Here is a 23,010-nt window from a genome sequence, read left to right on the forward strand (position 1 = left end):
CCAATTAAGAGATATTTTGCAAACCTTAATATGGCACTTTGGAACACTATATGTTTATCTTGTATAGTTCTAAGACTTTTTTCCTTTTGATGAATGTATTAAGTTCTTGAAAACTATCTCTCCTGATAAACATCTAGAAAATTTAACTGAAAAGATCAGAGCTTTTAAACAAATGTAAACTACTTAGATGCAGAGCAAATGTTTTTCAAAATTCAAATTGTGTAGACTAGTAACCGTGTTTTATTTCCATGTTTCAAATGATGCCTATACAATTCCAAGCATCTGGAGGCTGAGAATAGTTTAAGAACTCCAAAGACCTATTCGATACAAAGAAGCAGTACAGGTACCTCCTTAATCCTGTTACTAGTTACCTAAATAGTCTCACTATGCCCCGGTTCTCTCAGCTTAATCAGTTTAATGGCAACTTATGTAGTACTTTTATTGTTTTAAACCAATTCTAAATAGATTGTCTACTATTAATCGAACAAATTTATGAGGCATATAGAAAAGATGTCAGAAAGAAGAAATTTGTAGTTAAGTAATAACTTGCTTTGTTTACAATTCAGCAGCAGCAGCAGCCTCACAGCTGAACTACAGCACAGGTCTCCAGAACCATCACACCAAACTCCTTTTCCTAAGAAAATCTCACTTGAGCTTTTAACTCTATATTATATGGAGTTTGGGGATATTTGAAAGCAAGTTAAATAAAATTCCCACCAAAGGCGGCATAAGGCACTAGGCAGAAGTAGCCAAACTTAAGTACAGTAAGTCAATTTCTAGAAAGCTTTGAATATTATTTCAATTTGTCTGTCCGTATTCAATGCAAATCGTTACAAAATCACGTCTATTTTGAATTTATTAAATTTCTCAAAGTTTTTTTTTCAAAATCTGAGTTCTTATAAGAATTTGTAACAAATACCTGTTACAATTAAACAATACTGAAAGTATTGTTACTTTTGATAACCTGGTATAGATGTTTCTTATTAACCCGCTGTAGAGTTGATCTACACATGCCAGTTACCATGGTCTTCTAAAAGCACTGTTCAAGCCCTAAAATTAACTCAGTTAAGACTCAGTTGTTTAATAACGTATCAGGAACCACCTGTCCCTCAGACTAAAAATCACTTCTCATTTTAACTACTCTAGCACTAAAAGTGAATAGCATAATAATGTATCTACTAGCGCTACTGCTAAACAGTCCGGGTCCCCTGAAACTTATCCCTAAACACAGTGCTTTCGTGCGGCATCTGCGCCTTACTTTTGCAGTCTGGGGTGACTGAGTCAACGTGACCGTGCGGAGCACCAAGCAGCCCCGGGTCCCCATGGCTACCGCCAGGGCAACGCTTCGCGGCCCGCTCCTCAGGGACCCTCAGGGGCGGCACCGGGAAATCAGCTTTGCGGAGAGGAACCGCAGGGCTCCGGGGACGGGCTAGGGCAGCCGGCGGGCAGCAGAGGCAAGCCTGGCAAACTCTTCCCGGCTTCTTCGCGGCGCTTGGGGCAGACGTCCTGGCGACACCAGGCCGCGTCGGTTCCCCTTCATCCTATTTTCCCTTTAACACGGTGGCTTGAGAACTTTATTTTGTGCTCACTCAAGAAAATTTTAAATGATTTTACAGATACAACCCCAAAGATGAAGCTCCAACAAACCCGCCACTACTCGAGCCTTTCTCACCGTCTTCCTCACAGGCCCCACCCCCTACCGCGAGGAGCACGAGCTGAGGGGAACACAAGCCCCCGTCGGGCACTCCCCGGCCTCGCCCCACCCCCCAGGCGCGCACCCAACCCATATAAGGCGAGGGGAGGCAATCGCGCCAGCTCTGCCTCCGCCTCGCGCGCCGTCCAGAGGGAAGGATTTGCAATAGACTTCCTCAGTTCATTTCTTCTTATTCCCTCCTCCCTTAAAGGGCCGTTTCCACAATAGTGAAAGGAACGCACCAGTAAACCACAATAATCATAAAAGATGACTGTAATTAAGACTCTTTCTGAAACCAGAAACCGCGAGTTCATGCCCCCACCTCAAGAGCCCGAGCTTCCCCCTCTCTGAACCGCCCCCACACCCGCTCCCGCGAGCTCCCGCTTACGCTTTCCGGGCGGCGCGCGACGCGCTCGCTCCGCCCCTCTGGCCCCGCCCCCGGCTCCCCTTCTTGGTCTCAGGAGAGCCAGCGCGCACAAGCAAGGGTGTGCGGCTCTGAGACGTGCGTTGCTGCTTGTGGGTGTGAGACATCCTAGCTCCTCTTCCCCTTCCGTGAGTCCCTCCTTTCCTCGCAGACCCCACTTGTCGTGGCTGGCTGCCGCCGCAGCTCTTGTGCGAAGCCAGCAGTGCGCGTGCGCGCGGGCACGGGCGCGCGACCGTCGGGTCCCCGCGCTCCCTCCCCCTCCCGCTCCTCTATAACTTGGCTGGCGTGGAGGAGGCGCCGCCGGAGTCGGAGGGCGGGGAGCTAGGAGGAGGGAGCTCGAGAGTTGTGGAGACTAGTGACTGGGAGAAGTCGCAGCCCGCTCAGGCCCGCGCCTTCCCGCTCCCCGTCTTCCTCTCTCACACACCTACTCCGCCCTCCGCCCCAGCCCGCGCGCTAGCTCCTTCTCTCGCCCGGGGTTCCTGCCGGTAGCTCTCCGGGTCTTGGCGCGGCGGGGGCGCCCCGGGGGTGCCCTCGCCCTCCCGTTGCGGGCGGGCGGGCGGTATGTGGCGCCTGGTGCCCCCGAAGCTGGGCCGCCTGTCCCGCTCGCTGAAGCTGGCGGCGCTGGGCAGCCTGTTGGTGCTGATGGTGCTGCACTCGCCGTCGCTGCTCGCCTCTTGGCAGCGCAACGAACTGACCGACCGGCGCTTCCTGCAGCTCAATAAGTGCCCGGCGTGCTTCGGCACGAGCTGGTGCCGCCGCTTCCTCAACGGGCAGGTGGTATTCGAGGCGTGGGGCCGCTTGCGCCTGCTGGACTTCCTCAACGTGAAGAACGTGTACTTCGCGCAGTACGGCGAGCCCCGCGAGGGCGGCCGCCGCCGAGTGGTGCTCAAGCGCCTCGGCTCGCAGCGCGAGCTGGCGCAGCTCGACCAGAGCATCTGCAAGCGGGCCACCGGCCGGCCCCGCTGCGACCTGCTGCAGGCCATGCCCCGGACCGAGTTCGCGCGCCTCAACGGCGACGTGCGTCTGCTCACGCCCGAGGCGGTGGAGGGCTGGTCGGACCTGGTGCACTGCCCCTCGCAGCGCCTTCTCGACCGCCTGGTGCGCCGCTACGCGGAGACCAAGGACTCGGGCAGCTTCCTGCTTCGCAACCTCAAGGACTCGGAGCGCATGCAGCTGCTGCTGACCCTGGCCTTCAACCCCGAGCCGCTGGTGCTACAGGTAGGCGCGGAGCCAGGGCAGGGGGCGTCCTGGGAGGGGCCGCGCGTGGGAATCAGAGTCGGGAGAAGTGGCTCAGCCAGCGCTTGCCGCCAGTTCGGACTCGGCCGGGCTGGGCCAGGCTGCAGGCGTGGGAAGGGGCGTCTCCGGGGGAGCCCCGGGGCTGTGCAGGGAGGCCGAGGGCGACCCCGCTGATGGAGAGTCTGCTCTTGTTACCTAGATTCGGGCGCATTTCGGATTTGACTGTGGATCTTTCAACGCCAGAGGGAGTGCGTCTCTTAACACTCCCCAAAATGTCTCTACTGCGAGTTTCCTTCCGCTCTCTACCCTGCCTTTCTGCTTTTATCTGCCGGGGCTTGCAGGTCCGCGGCGCAGACTGTTCACGAGCCCTTGGACCTTTCCTAGTTCTTCTGAAGTGTTCTACACCGCGTTCGCTCTTCCTTTTCTGGCGCTGGTGGCTGGCCTAACTTCGGTCTCAGAGTCTTTGTTTTCGCTCATTTACCTGGCAGTCATTTGGACACCTAATTCGAGGACAAGTTGGGGAGGATGAAGTCGGAGAACGGGACAGTGGTCGGGGTGGGTTTAATCTGTGAGCCGAGCTTTGGGTGGGATTAGAATCAGAAACAGGAAAAGTAAGGCAGCGTTGGACTTGGGGCTGGGAGGGCTTAAGGCCAGACAGACGTTTTCATCCTGATCCTGTGACCTGCCCTATTCATCTGGTAATCTAGTTGAAGGGAGATGAAATATTAGGCCAGGGCGAGTATCAGGGAAGGAGATTCTTGCCTTTCGCCAGTTGCGTTGTTTGCTCTCGTCTGACTGTTTTGAAAAGTAATGTGCCTTTTAGGGGAATAGGATGGAATCTTTACTGGTGACATCAAAAAGAGAACAAAAAACAAAAACACTGTTTACTTTCGGAGTATTTGCTTGTTTCTGCACATTCCCACCCAGCTTCAGTGCGGTGTCCTTGAACAGTGATTACAACTGTGGGGTTGTGGTTTCTCCTTCTGTCTGCAGGAAAAGTTACCGTGCTCCTTTCCATGACAAGAGAAAAAAATGACTTAAAAGTTCACAAGTAATTTTGGTATACTTCACATTCTTTCTGGGTTGCTGTCACTGAGGGCTGGAGGTACAGGGTTTTTTTTTTTTTTATTTTTCTAAAATGCATGAATAGGAAAGTGCAGATTTCTTTATATTATTTTCTTTTCTCAAGCTCTACACTGCCCATTTTAGCTTTAAAAGAAACCAGCTTCGTTTGATTAGTTCAGCCAAATAATGTAACACAAATATTTGGCTTCAGATGAAACTTTAGTGTGGGTCTTAGTAAATTTTAGGACATCAGAGGCTATGTGTATTGGGTTAATTTTAAAGTCAGAGTGTGTTTTAAATACTGCTGTATCACCTAACTGAATGGATGCATAAAACTGGTTAAACTTTCCTTGAAGAAATTTTCTTTATTCAGTAGTTCCCAAACTAGTCAGTCTCTAAAGGTTTAGCCTGTATTTATGATGTACATACACTTGAACTGAAGTTTCTCATTAAGCTATCTTTAAAAGAGAACCTTGTTTGTATTAGCAAGGTTGGTTCTTGGAGATCGTGTTAGCATTTTGCTGAAGTAGATACCCGGACAAATTCTCTGAGACCCAGAAATTTAGCAAGGAGCTGTCTTAGTAATATACATTTACTGTACTTAAAATGCTGGCGTCCCTACCGAAAGATTTTTTTTTTTTAGGTAATTTTGAATAGTGATGTATTAGTAACAACTAACAGTAGAATTGATATTTTAAGAACATTATGTGGCCAGTTCTTTTTAAGTGTAGTCATAGCATTGAATTTGAGAAACTTTGGCATCTGATTTACACTAAGGTAAATTTGTGCTTTGTGCAGGAAGGTTTTATATTTTTTTAAGTTTGAACTTCTCATGGCATTCTCAGTTTACTTTGTAGTTGAGATAGTCAAGTGTGCGTGTATCTTGTTTTCTGTTTAACTTTTCCCTCAAACTTACTCTTTATCTGTTCTCATCTTTAGTGATGAAACAGCCTTTTTTGAAAAAGCACAATTATTTTCTTATATATGACACATAATGACACAGCTACTTTGAGTGGGTAAACACATGGGCCATAGGATAAGAATTTGTTTTTAGTATGTGATGAAACATGTCTCCACGTTTTAGAGTGAGGTTTGTAAATTACATTTTTAATTTACACAACCCAGTTCCCAGGAATAGTACTAATACTAATATATGTATTATAATTATAGCTGAGTACATACTGTGTAATATAATTTTGGGGTCTTTAGTACCAGCCAGTCATATAGGCATGTAATTTTTTTAAAACCTGATTAACAAGCAAGTAGAGGAAGAAGATATTTTTAAGTAAGAGTTTTCAGAGAGCCGCTGCTTTCTTTGTAGAATCACTTGATCTTTGGAAAAAGCTAGTGAATTTACAAGTCTGAACAATATACTTGAGGTTTGATGATTGTATAAAACCACCAAAATGAAAGGTATCTCAACATTCTGTGATCAAGTACAAAAGTTGCTGTACAGTAAGTCAAACCATGATGTTCATTACCTTTGTTAGCTAGGAAACTACATTTTTAGTATTTATACAGGTTTTTATAAAACTGTTTATAGCTGTTTACAGTAATACTGGGATATTAATTGATACAGAAAAACTCAGATTTGGCTGTCTATTGCTTCATGTATTAAAAAATATATTTTTAAGAGTACAAGTGTTTTAACAGCTTGAAGAGGAACTCACTTTTTTCCTCCAGGAGAGGGAGCTACTTGTCGAATTTTTGGACAGCTGGTGACAAACTAGATTTTTCTTATATTGTCCAAAAATTAACAACTTCAGGGAAAAAAAAGTCTTTGAACTGACTTCATCCAAGTATTCTTAACAAAACTTCCAGTATCGTAAGCATGCTTCAAAATAAGCATGTAAAAATTTCTTTTGATAAGGTGTTTAAGAACTGAAAAATACTTACGAATTTAATCCATTAAACTCACCTCTTCTGATTTGAAAAAACAGTAAAAAATTGAAGTTGCTATTATTCCTTGAAAGGAGAGGTGAAAGACATTAAGTGTCTAAGATGTTTACACACATACCTTATCTATGTAAGGCTGTAAAGATTTGTGATATAAATTTCCCCATATGAAATGGCATGAGAGTATGGCTTTCTTCTTATTGTTGGATAGTTTCACTAGTTTACAACAGTTTACCCATAGAATTATTATCTTCTAAAAAATGTTTATAAACATCAAGCAACAAGATAATGCTAGTAGTACCTTTATCTTCTACTCTGATACCCTTTCCTCGTCGTCACATTTTTACTTCACTAAGATGTGTGTATTTTAGTGCCAGGTATACTGTAATCCTATGAAAAAAAAAATGGAGGAGAGGAACTATGTTGACTTTTATATTGTGTAAATAGGAATCTTGAAGTATTCAAAAATTGAGTTGTTGAAGTAATTGGCAAGATCACAAGTTATTGTTGATAAATTTTCCATCGTATTTGTATTTAACCTATTGAATTTACAGAAAGGGAGAGTGTGTGTGTGTGTGTGTGTGTGTGAGAGAGAGAGAGAGAGAGAGAGAGAGAGATGCTGTCTGGATTTGTTGAAGTTCAGACAGAATCTCTGACTTTATAACCTGGAAGTAGTGAAGATGGTCTTGTTTGTAGGAAATGGAGAAAGCTCTTTGTTGTTTAGGGGGACGAGCTGGGAATGTTACTATTTGTGGAACTTCATTTGCCTTAAATTTTCTGAATCATGGTTTTAATAGGATTTACTTTATTTTTATAGTATATGACTATCATTAAGCTATGGTTTTTAAGCTTGCTTTTCTATTCTTATAAATGATATAATACATGCAAAGCACTTCACGTAGTATCTGGTAAATTGTAAGCATTCAATAAATGTTAGATATTGAATAAAGTAAAGGTAACTTTAACTGCCTGGTGCATTTGATCAGCTGTTTTGAAGCTCATTTGGGGTATGGATCACCTTAAAAATAATGGTGATTTTGAATATCAACCATACTTTAGTTATACTGATTTTTTTCCATTATTACTTTGATATAATTTTTTGTAGAAAACTTTCAGTGAATGTTGTTTTTGCCTTTAAAAGTAATTTATATAGGGAACAACATATTTTTTAAGTTCACTGGTGAAAATGTAGTTTTTGAAGTAAACAAAAGATTATTTAGCTAACGGTACTTTAGAAAAGTTGATAGATTTTTACTATTGGACTCACTTCCTTCTTTATAAAATGAAGCTATTGGATTAGATCCTTTTCAGCTCCAACATTCTGGGGCTTTCAAACTCTTGAGAAATTTGGTTTTTATTGTTGTTGTTGTTGTTGTTGTTTTCTTTTGAACTTTAACGAGTGGGTTTAATTAAGCTCTTCTGAAAGGGGATTGGGAGTGGGATGCTCTCTTTCAAGCCTTTCTTCCTACCCCCAAATTTTTACACACATGAAATAAAACAAAAACCAAAACCTTCCTTTAAGGGGAAATATGTGGAGTTAAGGGTAGCCAAGGATCTTGTGAGGCAATAGTGTGCAAAACGATGTTCCAGACTTTGTTTCAGGAGTTTCTTTTCAAACAACAGTTTAAGGAACCACCTACTTCTCCTTTACTGGCTGTTTCTTTAGTAACTGTCTTCCTAGATTTCGGCTTCAGAACACATTAGAGATGGTTCTTAGTAGAGCAGTTTTTAATCTAATAAATTTTGTAAGTTTTTGAACTTTTTGTGGCTTTTCATCTGAGAGTCCATTGACACTTTTGATTGCTCTTCAAGATAATCAAACAAAAATAATAAAACAATTTTGGATACCTCAAGTCCAAAAAGGGGGTGGGGACTTTTATTTTAGAAAGACCCTAGAAACAGACAATCGCCCTTAAGAAAGCATCACTTCAGAATCAGTAGAGCAAAGTCATTTGACATCCTGGACTAGTTTCTGGACATATCCATATCTTTTGACCATTTTGAATTTTGTCCTTTGTATACTTTTGTCTAGTCTTTGAACTATTCTTTATATTTCCATTGCATAGGTTAGCACATATTCTCACACATGTTGGGAAATAGAAAGCTTGTTTTTATAGGTCTTCTGGACATGGGTGTCCAGCTTCTCAGGGGATTGTCAGACTGGTTTTTATTCTGTTTTTTTGGTTTGTGGGCTCTGGCTTACTTCCTATTTTTCTGTCATTGCTGCTGACTCTTCACAGAATGCTATTTTTTTCTTTCTTCAGCTTTCACTCATTACCCATATGTTAAATTATGGCCTTATAATTTAAATCCTGCATTTTTCTAATACATTTGATGAACTTTAGTAAATGGTTGTAACATGACTGAAAATTATTAGTGTAAGGTGAGGTTAGTATAAGGTGATAGGAAGTTGTCTGTGAAATTCTTGAGAGCTCTTTGAATTTATAACCAAAAGAACTGAATTTGTCTGTTCATTTTACAATCTGTTACAAGGCATTTGGATTGAAAGGATGGAAAGATGGCCGTAGGAAACAAGTAGCTTACTATGTAGGAGGTAGGTACACAAATAACTAATTATTATACAATCCATTTAATAAGCCCTGTACAAAAGGTATCTATATCTATCTATCTATCTATATATATATATCTATATCTATATATATATATATATCTATATATATATATATATATCTATATATAGATATATATATATCTATATATATATATATATATACTGTCACATGACTCAGGGAGGGACATCTCATTGTATATTGATAGGAATGGTACCAGGGAAAGTTTCAGAGATTTTGCCAATAGATGGGGGTGGAGAGTGGGAGGAAGGGTGGAGGGGGCAGTATTGATAGAGCATCCATTTCACATTCTGTATTACCACAAAGTTGTTGGATGGTATTGAGCAAGTCACTTAATGTTTCCGATTCTAAGTTTTTTTAATCAGTAAAATGGGGTTGTTAATACTTACCTAACAGGATTGTTTTAAAGATTAAAGAAGAAAGGATTATTCAAGTAATATCTGTTAAATGTTTTCAGTTGTAAAGCTTTTTACAGTGTATTATTTCTTTGAAAATCAGCTTATTCCATTTTTAGACAGCTATAGTAGTTAAAAGTTCTTTAGTACATTATGCTGATGTCTGTCTTAGAAATGTAAAAATCCTACTTTTCTTATTGCAGACATTCAAATGTCACTGTCCTTACATATACGTAAATCATATGTACCTATTCAGGCTATAGTTTTTTAAAAATAGTAGTTTAAAAGGGGATTAGGGATTTGTCTCATATGAAGTGTAATGAATAGAATGAATATGGTAGGAAAGACGGTTTAGATAAGGATTAAGAAGTAAAAGGCAAATAGTTTCTTTTTTTCTCTGTAAATCATTATTATAGTTTAGTAATTCTATTTAGTACATTGGTAAATGGTAGTACAAAAAAACAGGTTAAGTCTAGACCTTAGACTCTGAGACAGAATCTTAAAAGATTTGTAATCTGAAGTAAGTATGATGCTTCAGTGTCTTCGTATTTTTTCTTTCTAATGCTTTTTTGGGGGTTAACTCTGAAATGAAAAGATCTGACAGTAATTATGTGGAATTGGTCAATAGTGCCAGGAACTGATCTGTATATACCCCTGGGACACAGTAAGGGTCAGTTGAGACTAGTAAACTTATGCATATTTAAAACTTGTGAACAAGTGAAGTGTTTTTTGTTTTGTGTTTTTTTTTGGTGGGGGCAGCATTTCTTAAGCAATTTATTCTAAAAGATAATCTATTTCTATTAAATTTAGTTTTTAAAATGTGTTTTGACATCAGTTTCCAATTTTAGATACAGCTGTTGGACATGATATTCAGTAAAATAACACAACCTTACTATTTTCAAGGCATTGTTTAATATTGTTGGAATTTGAGGTGGGTGGAAAATGGCATTCAGAAAATTATTTCATGAAATAAATGGGACATATGCTAGGACTTAAAAATCTTGAAATTGTTAAGCTTCTACAGTATTTGCAATGGATTTTGGCTGCTATTTAGCAGTATAAATTAAGAAGCTAAGATCTTAGAGAAATTTTAGCAAAAATTCAGTAACCATTAAATCATCCCCGTAATTTTACTATATCTCCCCTCCAGACAGTTCACCAAACTGTGAACACATTAGTCTGTCACCAGTACAGTTGACTAATCTTTATGAACAGCTGTTATAACATGCGTTACTACAATGGGATTTCATTCAAATTTGGGCTTTAAAAAATAATTTTAAAACTTAAGTTAGCTCTTTCTTTCTTTTCTTTCTTATGTGTCTGTCTGTCTTTATTTTGATGGAGTCTCTGTCATCCAGGCCGGAGTGCAGTGGCGTGATCTCAGTTCACTGTAACCTCTGCCTCCCGGGTTCAAGCAATTCTCCTGCCTCAGCCTCCCGAGTAGCTGGGATTACAGGTGCTCACCACCACGCCTGGCTAATTTTTGTGTTTTTAGTAGAGACGAGTTTCACCATGTTGGCCAGGCTGGTCTCAAACTCCTGACCTTAGGTGATCTGCCCACTTAGGCCTCCCAAAGTGCTGGGATTATAGGTGTGAAGCCACCGCGCCTGGCCCCTTTAAGCATTTTCTATGCTTTTGATGACATATACTTTCTAAGAGTGTTTTCAAGCTTAAACTTTTTTTTTTTTTGTAGAAATGCCAGTTATGTAGAAAATCGATATTCACATTTTAGATTGTATGTTTTATTAATAGTTTTTTTGAAGTTAGTTTGTTTATACTAAGAACTTTCAAGTTTAACAAAAATCAGTCTTGCATGGTAACACATCTCTTGGTCTGTACTTATTTTCTCTCTTAAGGCAAACTGCAAAGCTATGTTCCTTTTAATGGAATATTATGAGGTAATGAAGTATTATAAAATATTTTATATTGTATAAAAGGAATTTTGATCTTTTAAATTTAGTATACAATATTTTTGGTCATGTAGGAGAAAAAAGAATACAAGCACTTTTAAGTAGACTCTATTTTAATCTATTAGTCTCATGTCATTTATTTTTTGTAAGTAAATAAACAATACCAAAATGTATTCTTTTATGTATCTTTACTCATATATTCCATGTCCACCCTTTTCATGACTGTGTTATGGCATGATAGAATGAAATGGCCTTATTAACCTGGCAGGATGGTGGATATTGATCAAAGGGTTATCGTGATATTTTAAAGGCTTGTTTTTTAGAATAAGGTAAATATACCATAGCATACTGTTTGATTTCAGTATGTAAGATAATCCTGAACATCAAGATTTTGACATGTATTTGTTTTTGCATGGCATACATATAGATGATGCTATAAAGACTGAGTTGAAGATTTCTGTTTGATTCTATAAGTCCCAACATGATCTGGTCCTTGCTTCACTCTCCAGATTCCCTTACCGCAAGTCATTTCCCCATTCATTTCACTGCAGCTGCTTTGGTCTTTTATTCATTTCTGAGAAGATACTTTCAGGCTTTTCATGTGCCTGAACTGCCCCATCTCCAGTCTGCTTAATATTAAACTCATCCTTTAGGTCTCAGCCTGGGTGGAGATCACTTAGGTTAAATAATCAATCTTAACATTATTTTTCCAGCATAATGTTGGCTTCTGGAATGCTCTTATGTAATATATAAACCGTTACCTTTATAAAATCTGAAAAATTCTTAAACAGATGATAAATAAGCAAAAACAAAAACAGAAACAAAAACAAAACAAAAAATAAACCCAAAAAAACCACCCCAAACTAATAAAGTTTAACTTCAACAAAAGGATATTGGCTTGAGGGAGGTTGTGTTAATCTATCTTTTGAATTCATTTTGACTGTTGTAAAGATAATTATAGCTTGGCCTAAATTTGCTTCTTACTACCTGTGTGACTTTAGGTAAATCGTTTAACACTGTACTAATAAGATTGAACTGGATTTACAATTGAGGTACAGTTAAACTCTAAATTTCTTGGATTTTACATTTCCTTTATTGATCACATAAAATATTTGATTTTGATCTAGGTAGATTATTAGGTTATTTCAGCATTTGGAATTTGTTTTGTGCTTATCAGTAATAAAAAACAAGTTAAAATACTGTGTTTTTGTGTGTACACGTTTCCAATTTTTAAGTTTCTTGCATTTTTAGTGCTTGTGGATGCTCTCTACGTTTCTTATAGCATCAGTGCTTTTAAGAGTTTAGTGACTAGTCTATATATTTCATTATGAATTAGAAATTACTAGAGGTCAGTAAAGATGTTTCTCTAATTTAGTGGTTCTTCACTCTATTTGGAAGGGGGTTCATTATTTGTAGATGCCGTTTTAGTAGGTGTTTAGGAGGTGCATGAAGATAAGCATATCTTTTGATGAATGTCTGGAATTGTTACTTAAAATTTTTAAATAGAGAAAGCCCATCAGACTAACAGCAGATCTCTCTGCAGAAACCCTGTAAGCCAGAAGAGAGTGGGGACCAATATTCAACATTCTTAAAGGAAAGAATTTTCAACCTAGAATTTCATATCCAGCCAAATTAAGCTTCATAAGCGAAGGAGAAATAAAATCCTTTCCAGACAAGCAAATGCTGAGAGATTTTGTCACCACCAGGCCTGCCTTACAAGACCTCCTGAAGGAAGCCCTGAATATGGAAAGGAAAAAACAGTACAAGCCATTGCAAAAACATACCAATTGTAAAGATGATTGACACTATGAAGAAACAGCATCAACTAATGAGCAAAATAACCAGCTAGCATCATAATGACAGGATCAAATTCACACATAACAATATTAACCTTAAATGTAAATTGGCTAAATGTCCCAATTAAAAGACACAGACTGGCAAATTGGATAGTTAGAACCCACCAGTGTGCTGTATTCAGGAGACCCATCTCACATGCAAAGACACACATGAAACATTTACCAAGCAAATGGAAAGCAAAAAAAACACAAAAAAAACAAAAGGGGTTGCAATCCTAGTCTCTGATAAAACAGACTTTAAACCAACAAAGATCATAAAAGACAAGGGCATTACATAATGGTAAACGGATCAATGCAACAAGAAGAGCTAACTATATATACATGCTCCCAGGATCAGGAACACCCAGTTTCATAAAGTAAGTTCTTAGAGACCTACAAAGAGACTTAGACTCCCACACAATAATAGTGGGAGACTTTAACACCCCATTGTCAATATTAGACAAACGAGACAGAAAATTAGCAAAGATATTCAGGACTTGAACTCAGCTCTGGACCAAGTGGACCTAATAGACATCTACAGAACTCTCCACCCCAAATCAACAGAATACACATTCTTCTCAGCATCATATTGCACTTATTCTAAAATAGTAAAACACTCCTCAGCAAATGCAAAAGAAAATCATAACAGTCTCTCAGACCACAATTCTAATTGCAGTCAAATTAGAATTCAGAATTAAGAAACTCACTCAAAATTGCACAACTACATGGAAACTGAACAGCCTGCTCCAGAATGACTACTGGGTAAATGATAAAATTAAGGCAGAAGTAAATAAGTTATTTGAAACCAATGAGAACAAAGACACAACATATCAGAATCTATGGGACACAGCTAAAGCTGTGTTTAGAGGAAAATCTATAGCATTAAATGCCCACAGGAGAAAACGAGAAAGGTGTAAAATCGACATCCTAACATCACAATTAAAAGAACTGGAGAAGCAACAACAAACAAATTCTAAAGCTAGCAGAAGACAAGAAATAACTAAAATCAGAGCAGAACTGAAGGAGATAGAGACACGAAAAACCCTTAAAAAAATCAATGAATCCAGGAGCTGGTTTTTTGAAAAGATTAGAAAAACCAGACCACTAGCAATACAAACTGTTTTGTATTGGGAAGGCTGTTTCATCTACATTTTGTATTGGGAAGGCTGTTTCATCTACATTTTGTATTGGGAAGGCTGTTTCATCTACATTGAAAATCTGTTGATTAGTCACTTCCATTAATTATCTTAGCTAGATCTTCTGGATAATTTGCTATGGTTTCTGTATCAGCACTTGCTGCTTCTCCTTGCGCTTTTATCTTACGGTGATGAATTCATTCCTTAAACTGCATTAACCAGCCTCTGCTAGCTTCAAACTTTTCTTCTGAACTCTGAGCCTTCATAGAATTGAGGAGAGTTGGGTTCTTGTTCTGGATTGGGTATTGGCTTAAGGGAATGTTGTGACTGATTTGATCTTTTATCCAGATCACTAAAACATTCTCCCTATTAGCAGTAAGGCTGTTTTGCTTTCTTAACATTTGTGTGTTCACTGGCGTAGCACTTCTGATTTCTTTTGATAATATTTCCCTTGCATTCACAGCTTGGCTGTTTGGGTTAAGAAGCCTAGCTTTCTGCCTATCTCGGTTTTAGATGTGCCTTCCTCACTATGCCTACCTATTGTTTCTAGCTTTTGATTTCAAATGAGATACCTGTAACTGTTTTCATTTGCACACTTAGAGGCCATAGTAGGATTAATAGGCTTAATTTCAGTATTGTTGTGTCTCAGGGAACAGGGAGGCCTGAGGAGAGGCCTCCCTGTTCCCTGGGGATGGCTAGTTGGTGGAGCAGTCAGAACACACACATTTATTGATTCCTTTTTTTCTCTAATGTTCATTTTCTAGTTACATATTTTAGCAGTGGAAGGTATCTTAGATAAAGCCTGTTATTTTACTTAAGGTGAAAATGAGTGTTCATGGTCATGGAACACGTTTTTTTTTGATTTAGGATGATAATCCTGCCAGTAGTTTTAAAATCCATTAGAAAACCTTGCTAAGATAAGAGTAATTTTGAGGCTAGGCCAAGGAGAACAGAAAATATGGCTGGGAAAGGGAAACAAGATGAACTTGGACCAGATGTGCTCAGAGTGGAGGTTGCATTAATAGGATATCAGTTTGTCCCTTCCCAACCTTTGGATGTAGGGTAAAAGACATCTCTCAAGAATCTTTCCCTGAATTCCACCCCATCTGCTTCCTGACTAGGAAAGGCCCCTACTAAATGATCCCCTGGGACCTGCACCACTGCTTAGTAACTAACACTTTTCATATTCATAATTATTTGTTTGGTGACTGCATGCTCTTCTAAAATAAAAGCCCATGGCTAAATGGAGACTGTTTGGTTCACCCTTAATTGCCACCGTAACACAGTGCCTGTTGCCTGGTAAATAACTGCTGGTTAATAGGCTGCAGTGCTATCAGTTTAAATAAAAGGATTGGTTGATTACATTTACACAAGTGAAGAAGATAAGGGAAAGCATAAATACTTTTAGATTTGGTAATAAAGACAGTGTCTTCCCTCTTATTGATCATTTTGGTTCTTAGATTTTGATAAGCAAGACTTGTCATCCTATTTTAGCTTTATAATGTAAAGTTCTCTATTTAAATTTTTTTCAGGTCCATAGTACTGGTATGAGTTAGGAAAAAATGAAGTTAATCTCTAATAAACTGTTGAATGTAATAAGAAAATCCAAAGTCATTCCTAGTAGCAATCTCTACTGAAAGGATCTGAGGATAGACCTAGGATATTTTCATCAGAATCTCTTGTAATATTAAGATAATTCTTTTGTAGAGTTTTCCGTCTGATGAAGGTTGGCCATTTGCAAAGTATCTTGGAGCTTGTGGAAGAATGGTGGCTGTAAATTATGTTGGAGAAGAACTGTGGAGTTACTTTAATGCGCCATGGGAAAAACGAGTTGACCTCGCTTGGCAATTAATGGAAATAGCAGAACAGCTTACAAACAATGACTTTGAATTTGCACTCTACCTCCTGGACGTCAGCTTTGACAATTTTGCAGTTGGTCCTAGAGATGGGAAGGTAATCATTGTGGATGCTGAAAATGTTTTGGTTGCTGACAAAAGATTAATTAGACAAAGTAAGTATATAATTTTAGATTTTTTTCTACTCATTTTTTCCTATGTCAAAATAATGTTTATACTTGTATGAAATGAGCCTTGAATTTCCTCCTTAGATGGCAACTTTAAGCGTCTTTCTTTGCTTTATATGACCACTGTCAATAAACAAATACAGATACTCTTTGACTTACTGGGGGTTACATCTTGATAAACCCGGTGTCAGTTGAAAATATTGTTATTTGAAATATATCTAACCTACGGGACATCATAGCTTAGTCTTGCCTACCTTAGACATACTCAGAACACTTACATTAGTCTAAAGTTGGGGGAAATTGTGTAAAACAAAGCCTATTTATAATAAACTGTTGAATATAATTATATTCATGTAATATATTGAATTCTGTACTGAAAGTGAAAAACAGAATGGTTGTATGGGTTCTTGAAATATGGTTTGTACTTTATTTTTAACCATTTTGATGATCCCTGGCACTGCAGCTCTGAGTTTGGTTTGACATTCTGATTATTACATCTCACCCAAAACTTTGCTCTCCATTTACTTTTGAGTTCTTCATGGGATAGATGAGTAGTGTCTGAAGTGTTTTGAAAATTAAATGCCGGCCGGGTGCGGTGGCTTACGCCTGTAATCCCAGCACTTTGGGAGGCCGAGGCGGGCGGATCACGAGGTCAGGAGATCGAGACCATCCTGGCTAACACGGTGAAACCCCGTCTCTACTAAAAATACAAAAAATTAGCCGGGCGAGGTGGCGGGCGCCTGTAGTCCTAGCTACTCGGGAGGCTGAGGCAGGAGAATGGCGTGAACCCCAGGGGGCGGAGCCTGCAGTGAGCCGAGATTGCGCCACTGCACTCCAGCCTGGGCAACAGCGAGACTCCGTCTCAAAAAAAAAAAAAAAAAAAGAAAATTAAAGAAAATTAAATGCCATAGAAGTTGTAAAGCATCAAGAACAAAGCCTGTAGGTCTAGAACCAATTCAGTTAGCAAAACCAAAGGGTTGTTGCTCCATGGTGAGGGTTTTATATTTTTTAATCCCCTCTTTCCCCCTGATAAAAGTAATATGAGTATCTTTTGACAAACAAAGGCTGAAAATTTACGGCACCTGGGGAAAAGTTTATGTGACAGCCATATATTAGGTTGACATTTACTTTTTGCATGATCTTGGCATGATCCTATTAAATACTTGATTTTTCCCACTCCCTTTTTCAGATTTTATACTTACCAGACCACTTTTCTGATTATTTCTTGACTTGCCATGTAGATCCTCCTACAGGAAGTGAACACCCTGCTGGAGTATTCTACTCTCTATTTACCTCTTCCTACATCTGTGAATATTGTAGCAGCGTATACTATTCTTTCTTTTTTAAAGTGTACACAAGCAGGTGGTTTTTAGTATATTCATAGAGTTGTGCAATTTTCCTAAGCTTAAAAAAATTATTTCAGTGTTTATAACAATAATTTTTTATAATTCATTTTATGCAGACATTCCTGGAATAATTATTACTAATTCCTGACCTTAGATGAATCCAGCCATATAGCTTCTGTATTCTTCCATTTCATACAGTGAGCATTGCTCTAGTGCTGCTTTAACTGTGGTCATTTCTTTTCAAATGTCTCATGGGTCCTCTAAATAGTCACTTTGCAAAAGTCTCTGTCTGTTCATTTACTCTCTTTTCTTTCCACTTTCTAGTAAATGACCTTTATTTTATTTCTTCACAGGGAAATTGAGATTTTGCTGTGGCAACTCCCCCAGTGTCCTTTATCATCTAAACCTCATTAAAACAGCAACAGATAGATTCTTCTTTGAGAACTTGTTACATCAGTTATCTTCTTCAGTGTCCCACCTCCTTCCTTTAATATCCAACTTCTCTTGCCTTCCTATAAAAAGTATATATAAGACTCTCTTCTGCTTCTCCTTGCTTGTCCACTGTTTTTAAAAGTATTTATTGCCTTTCTGCTTCCTCAGCCTCTATTCATTCCTTAGTCCATTAAAACCTGACGTAGACCTCTGCCTTGCCATTAGCAACCACCTAATTGGCAAATTTGTGAAGTGATTGTGACTAGTATCAACTTCTCGAAGTTGTTTCCTCCTTTGGAATAGTAACCTTCCTTCTTTTGGAATAGTAACCTTCAAAAAACATTAACTTACTACTCCTTTGCTTAAATGGTTCTAATGACTTCCCATTGTTCTGGAAGTAAAATCCAAACACCTTAAAGCCAGGGCATAATCTGTAATCTGTGTGACTTGGCCCTCTTCTGATCCTTTTTTTTTTTTCTTTTTTGAGACAGGGTCTCTGTCACCCAGGCTGGAGTGCAGTGGTGTGATCACGGCTCACTGCAGCCTTGACCTCCCTGGCTCAAGTGATCTTCCTGCCTCAGCATCCCAAGTAGCTGGGACTACAGGCACATACCACCATGCCTGGCTAATTTTTAAATTTTTTGTAGAGGGTGGGATCTCGCTGTGTTGCCTAGACTGGTCTCAAACTTGTGGGCTTAAGCAGTCCTCCCACCTTGGCCTCTCAAAGTGCTGGGATTACAGATGTGAGCCACCCCGCCCAGCCTGTGTATATATGTGTTTTTCGAGTGCTTCATTTTTAATACCCCTCCATCTATTGCCCTTGGTGCTTCTGCTACAATGGCCTCTTGTTTTCCTGAATGAATCGGCCCACTTCTGGGCATTCCCAGTTTCCTCTTCCAAAAATGTCTCTTCCTTCTTCCCTATACAGCTAGCTATTTGTTTTTCAAGCCTTGACTCCTTCAAGTACATGTGTGCTTATGTGTTCTCAATTTGCCTAATATCCCTCTTACCTCAAAATCATAAGTTTCAAGTCTAGTTCTAGTTGTACATATGACATGCCCACCTAATACCTTATAGCTCCTTTATATTTATTTTGTTTATATATAAAATATTGACACTATTATGGCAATTGTACATACCTTGTCATCCAATTAGAACCTTAAACTTTACCCATATACTTAATTATTTTTGCCTGAAATGTTTCTCCAATCTAGCTTTTCATTCTGGGCCATCTATAGTTGCTCTCATGATCTTAATCCTTCCAATCTTCAGCCCAGAGTTATCTTTCTATAAAATAAATTATGGTCGTGATTACACAAGTTACGACCTATTTTTCTAGCGTCACCTGTATCTCCTTGCCAACTACGTTTCTCACACTCTAGCCACAGTGAACTTATTGCTTCGTGAACCAAATGGAGCAATCCCTTATGTCCATGTCTTTGCATATACTGTGTCCTGAACCTAGAATGCTATTTTTTCCTAGTTTCTTTTCAGATTTGTTTTCTTTTAAGACCTAAATCAGATGTTCTCCTTTTTGCAGCCTTCTACAGCCCCAGGGACAAGTGCTAATTTAATTCCCCACTATTCCTGTAGCATTGTGTCATATTTCTTTATGGCACTTTCTGTGTATGATGGAAAGTCGCTAGACTAAACCTGTAAGTGGTAGAGACCTTTCTGAATCTTTCTGCCTAGCGTTAGTGGGCTCCCAGTGAATGTTTGTATGAATTTATATATTTAAATGTTTATGGTTATAATATACTTTTACCTAAAAGTGTAGAACAAATACTATTAATTAGTGAAATATTCTATTTTTGGAAGCAATGAAAACTATTTAAAAAATTTTTTTCTACTTCTGCTTTTCCTCCTTTCACAGATAAACCTGAAAATTGGGATGTATGGTATGAAAGCAAGTTTGATGACTGTGATAAGGAGGCTTGCTTATCATTTTCAAAAGAAATTCTTTGTGCTCGTGCCACTGTGGACCACAATTACTATGCTGTTTGTCAGAACCTCTTATCCAGACATGCCACCTGGCGTGGCACTTCTGGAGGACTCCTTCATGATCCACCAAGTGAAATTGCCAAAGATGGCCGGCTCGAGGCCTTGCTGGATGAGTGTGCCAACCCAAAGAAGCGCTATGGCAGATTCCAGGCTGCAAAAGAACTGCGTGAATACCTAGCACAATTAAGTAACAACGTGAGGTAGTCTATGGTGAACTTTTCTTTTTTTCTCCATTTAAACAGCACTGGCTAAAACTAAACCACCAAAAAACGATCTGAAAAAATGAAATTTGGAAGTGTTACATTCAGAGGATGATAAACTTGCACTGATAGATCTTAATGTTAACATCCATCAAAATAAGACATTACTTCAAAAATCACATGATGCTTCTGCAAATAAGTATGTTCTTATACTTTGGAGGCTTGAGCTGTCATCAGCTGCTCCCCACTACCCCGGAATGCTTGAGTGGATTAATGAATATTGTTAAGCTATTGGAAATGAGTCTGATAGTACATTGGCTTGTGTATCAAAGGGTACTTGGTACTTAGTTTGCATTTACTATCATGATTTTGTGAATCTCTTGCATTTACTTTGAATGTCAAGTCAGATTGGTCTGTTTTATAGGCCGCTTTTTCCTTCTGATGTGTAGGGTTTTTTCCCCCTTTTTTTTTTTAATTAAATTTTGAAAATTCAGGTTACTGTAGGTGTTCATTTAAATTTTTAATAGTTGTCATTCAGTGCTATTTGGTACATATTTACTGTTAGGGCAGGATTCCCAGGTTTACTGTGTTTTTTTTTTTTTTTTTTAAAGAAAGCTAAATATTACATTATGTAAATACTTCTTTTCACCAACTTCTGTAGTTTCACCATTGCATGGTGTCATTTCAGGTTATTTAACAGTTATATCCCTCTATGCCAATAATTAGAAGTGTACACTAAACATGAAGTTTGGCATATGTTGCAAAATGTCATTTTATCTTTTCTAAAGGCTTTAAGAAGAATATACTAGAATCTATATATTGATGTTAATTTTGATTCAGAAAAAAAATACAACCCAGTATCTAAAAAGTGTTAACTAGTCCAAGATAGTAATGCATATGCCAAAGAAATATTACACCTAATCTCATGTTTAGAATTTAAAATAGAATTGGTCAGCTACTTATTCTTACCACCCTACTTCCAGTATTTTAGCTCTGTCATTATTAAATTCAGATCTTCCTGATTATTTTTTCTGTTGAAAGTTAAACTACTGCTTTCAAGTAATTTAAAGTTATCCTACCTTTTATTCATGGGTAGTTTTGCAAAATTAACATGGTAGCCATTGTTTGAATTTAATCGGGCATCATAACTTTTCATTTATTGAGGAACTAATCATTATTACTATAAAGCATACAAATTAGCCAGTCAGCACACTTTGGTCTTCTTTACCTAAGGGTTAAACATCAGAACATCAAATTTAATTATTTGCATAGAAATGTGTGGGCTCTTTATATAAGTTGACTATCACTAACAGGTAATATTTTTCTGTTTGAAGTTGTTACTTTTGTTTACAGCAAAGTTTGATGTAGTGTGCAGTAGTGAGCTCTAGACTGATCTTTTTCTAAATCAGAAAGTGATTAAAGTATGCACAACCAAAGGCAGGTTTTTCTTTTTCATTTATTCAGCAACTATTTATTAAGCATCAACTCTGTGCCAGGCACGTTACTAGCTGCTACATACTGTCTGAACATGACATACGGTTAAGTAACTTTACAATTATTATCAAATACTTCAATGTAGATATTTCTTAAGTTGAAATAGCATTAACTAGGATAATGCTTTCATGTTATTTTATTGTCTTGTGATAGAAATTCAACTTGTACCATCTAAAACTAGGTTGCTATAAAAATAGGAGGATGAAGTCAATAAAGTTTATGCCAGTTTAAAAACTGGAAGGAAAAGGTAAGAGCTCTCCATTATAAAATAGTTGCATTCGGTTAATTTTTACACATTAGTGCATTGCGTATATCAACTGGCCCTCAATGAAGCATTTAAGTGCTTGGAATTTTACTAAACTGACTTTTTTGCAACTTTGGGAGATTTTTGAGGGGAGTGTTGAAAATTGCCAAACACTCACCTCTTACTCAAAACTTCAAATAAAATACACATTTTCAAGAGGGAGCACCTTTTATATTTGATAAGTTTTCATTATAAACCTTATAATACCAGTCACAAAGAGGTTGTCTGTCTATGGTTTAGCAAACATTTGCTTTTCTTTTTGGAAGTGTGATTGCAATTGCAGAACAGAAAGTGAGAAAACACTGCCAGCGGTGATTGCTACTTGAGGTAGTTTTTTACAACTACCATTTCCCCTCCATGAAATTATGTGAAATTTATTTTATCTTTGGGAAAAGTTGAGAAGATAGTAAAAGAATTAGGAATTTAAAATTACAGGGAAAAATATGTAAGTGAAAAGCAATAAATATTTTGTTCACTTTGCTATCAAGATGTTCACTATCAGATATTTATTATATGGCAGCAATTTATATTTTTAATCATTGCCCATTAATAGACGCAGTAAAATATTTTTGAATCAGACATTTGGGGTTTGTATGTGCATTAAAATTGTCTTTTGTACTGTAAGTTACTGTTAATTTGAATATTTTATTGAACTGTCTCCCTGTGCCTTTATAATATAAAGTTGTTTCTACAACTTTTAATGATCTTAATAAAGAATACTTTAAGAATCACACTTTTCAGACTATTTCTTAACTTCAGATATCCACATTTTTCTTGAGTGGAAAGTGAGTTTGAGTAGATAAGTTACTAGTTTCCTCTTGCATGCACTTTAATTAGAATTTTGAGGGAACTATCTGATTGGGTGTGCACCAGGCTTTAAGGTTATGTGTGTTTTCTTTTTCTGTAGTAGTGAGTTTTTAAAAAACTTTTACCACTAAAATGGAATTAAAAGAAAAACTTCATTATGGAAATTTTCAAATGTATGCAAGAGAATAACATAATGAACAGTAGTATATCATTACACTAACT

At 38.2% G+C, this 23,010-nt stretch overlaps 1 protein-coding gene across 4 annotated transcripts, besides 9 other annotated features; it reads left to right on the forward strand.

The window, feature by feature from the left end:
* Window positions 1,475-2,055: an enhancer, noted in NCBI's record as "NANOG-H3K27ac-H3K4me1 hESC enhancer chr3:143689971-143690551 (GRCh37/hg19 assembly coordinates)". NCBI's record gives its function as "activates a minimal SCP1, AML or CMV promoter by ChIP-STARR-seq in primed H9 embryonic stem cells {active_cell/tissue: H9 hESC(primed)}" and the evidence as "EXISTENCE:reporter gene assay evidence [ECO:0000049][PMID:30033119]".
* Window positions 1,535-1,644: an enhancer, noted in NCBI's record as "active region_20661". NCBI's record gives its function as "activates an Ori minimal core promoter by ATAC-STARR-seq in GM12878 lymphoblastoid cells {active_cell/tissue: GM12878}" and the evidence as "EXISTENCE:reporter gene assay evidence [ECO:0000049][PMID:35858748]".
* Window positions 1,735-1,784: a silencer, noted in NCBI's record as "silent region_14798". NCBI's record gives its function as "represses an Ori minimal core promoter by ATAC-STARR-seq in GM12878 lymphoblastoid cells {active_cell/tissue: GM12878}" and the evidence as "EXISTENCE:reporter gene assay evidence [ECO:0000049][PMID:35858748]".
* Window positions 1,915-2,004: an enhancer, noted in NCBI's record as "active region_20662". NCBI's record gives its function as "activates an Ori minimal core promoter by ATAC-STARR-seq in GM12878 lymphoblastoid cells {active_cell/tissue: GM12878}" and the evidence as "EXISTENCE:reporter gene assay evidence [ECO:0000049][PMID:35858748]".
* Window positions 2,056-2,636: an enhancer, noted in NCBI's record as "NANOG-H3K27ac-H3K4me1 hESC enhancer chr3:143690552-143691132 (GRCh37/hg19 assembly coordinates)". NCBI's record gives its function as "activates a minimal SCP1, AML or CMV promoter by ChIP-STARR-seq in primed H9 embryonic stem cells {active_cell/tissue: H9 hESC(primed)}" and the evidence as "EXISTENCE:reporter gene assay evidence [ECO:0000049][PMID:30033119]".
* Window positions 2,056-2,764: a biological region, named in NCBI's record as "NANOG-H3K27ac-H3K4me1 hESC enhancer GRCh37_chr3:143690552-143691132".
* Window positions 2,115-2,764: a silencer, noted in NCBI's record as "silent region_14799". NCBI's record gives its function as "represses an Ori minimal core promoter by ATAC-STARR-seq in GM12878 lymphoblastoid cells {active_cell/tissue: GM12878}" and the evidence as "EXISTENCE:reporter gene assay evidence [ECO:0000049][PMID:35858748]".
* Window positions 2,144-22,714, forward strand: DIPK2A (divergent protein kinase domain 2A). Of its 4 annotated transcripts, none has more exons than NM_001363944.1 (3): window positions 2,144-2,245; window positions 15,889-16,192; window positions 19,856-22,714. In NM_001363944.1, exons 2-3 carry the CDS (start codon window positions 15,946-15,948, stop codon window positions 20,185-20,187), a joined length of 579 nt encoding a protein of 192 aa, NP_001350873.1. In that variant the 5' UTR covers window positions 2,144-2,245; window positions 15,889-15,945; the 3' UTR covers window positions 20,188-22,714. The 4 variants fall into 4 exon arrangements, with proteins under 4 accessions (NP_001350873.1, NP_775823.1, XP_011510845.1 ...); NM_173552.5 differs by having other exon boundaries at window positions 2,169-3,335; NM_001134470.2 differs by lacking the exon at window positions 2,144-2,245 and adding an exon at window positions 3,427-3,908.
* Window positions 3,255-3,494: a silencer, noted in NCBI's record as "silent region_14800". NCBI's record gives its function as "represses an Ori minimal core promoter by ATAC-STARR-seq in GM12878 lymphoblastoid cells {active_cell/tissue: GM12878}" and the evidence as "EXISTENCE:reporter gene assay evidence [ECO:0000049][PMID:35858748]".
* Window positions 3,645-3,904: an enhancer, noted in NCBI's record as "active region_20663". NCBI's record gives its function as "activates an Ori minimal core promoter by ATAC-STARR-seq in GM12878 lymphoblastoid cells {active_cell/tissue: GM12878}" and the evidence as "EXISTENCE:reporter gene assay evidence [ECO:0000049][PMID:35858748]".
* Window positions 22,715-23,010: the final 296 nt, after the last annotated feature.

Source organism: Homo sapiens, chromosome 3 (assembly GCF_000001405.40).
Source record: "Homo sapiens chromosome 3, GRCh38.p14 Primary Assembly".
Classification (NCBI taxonomy): Eukaryota; Metazoa; Chordata; class Mammalia; order Primates; family Hominidae; genus Homo; species Homo sapiens.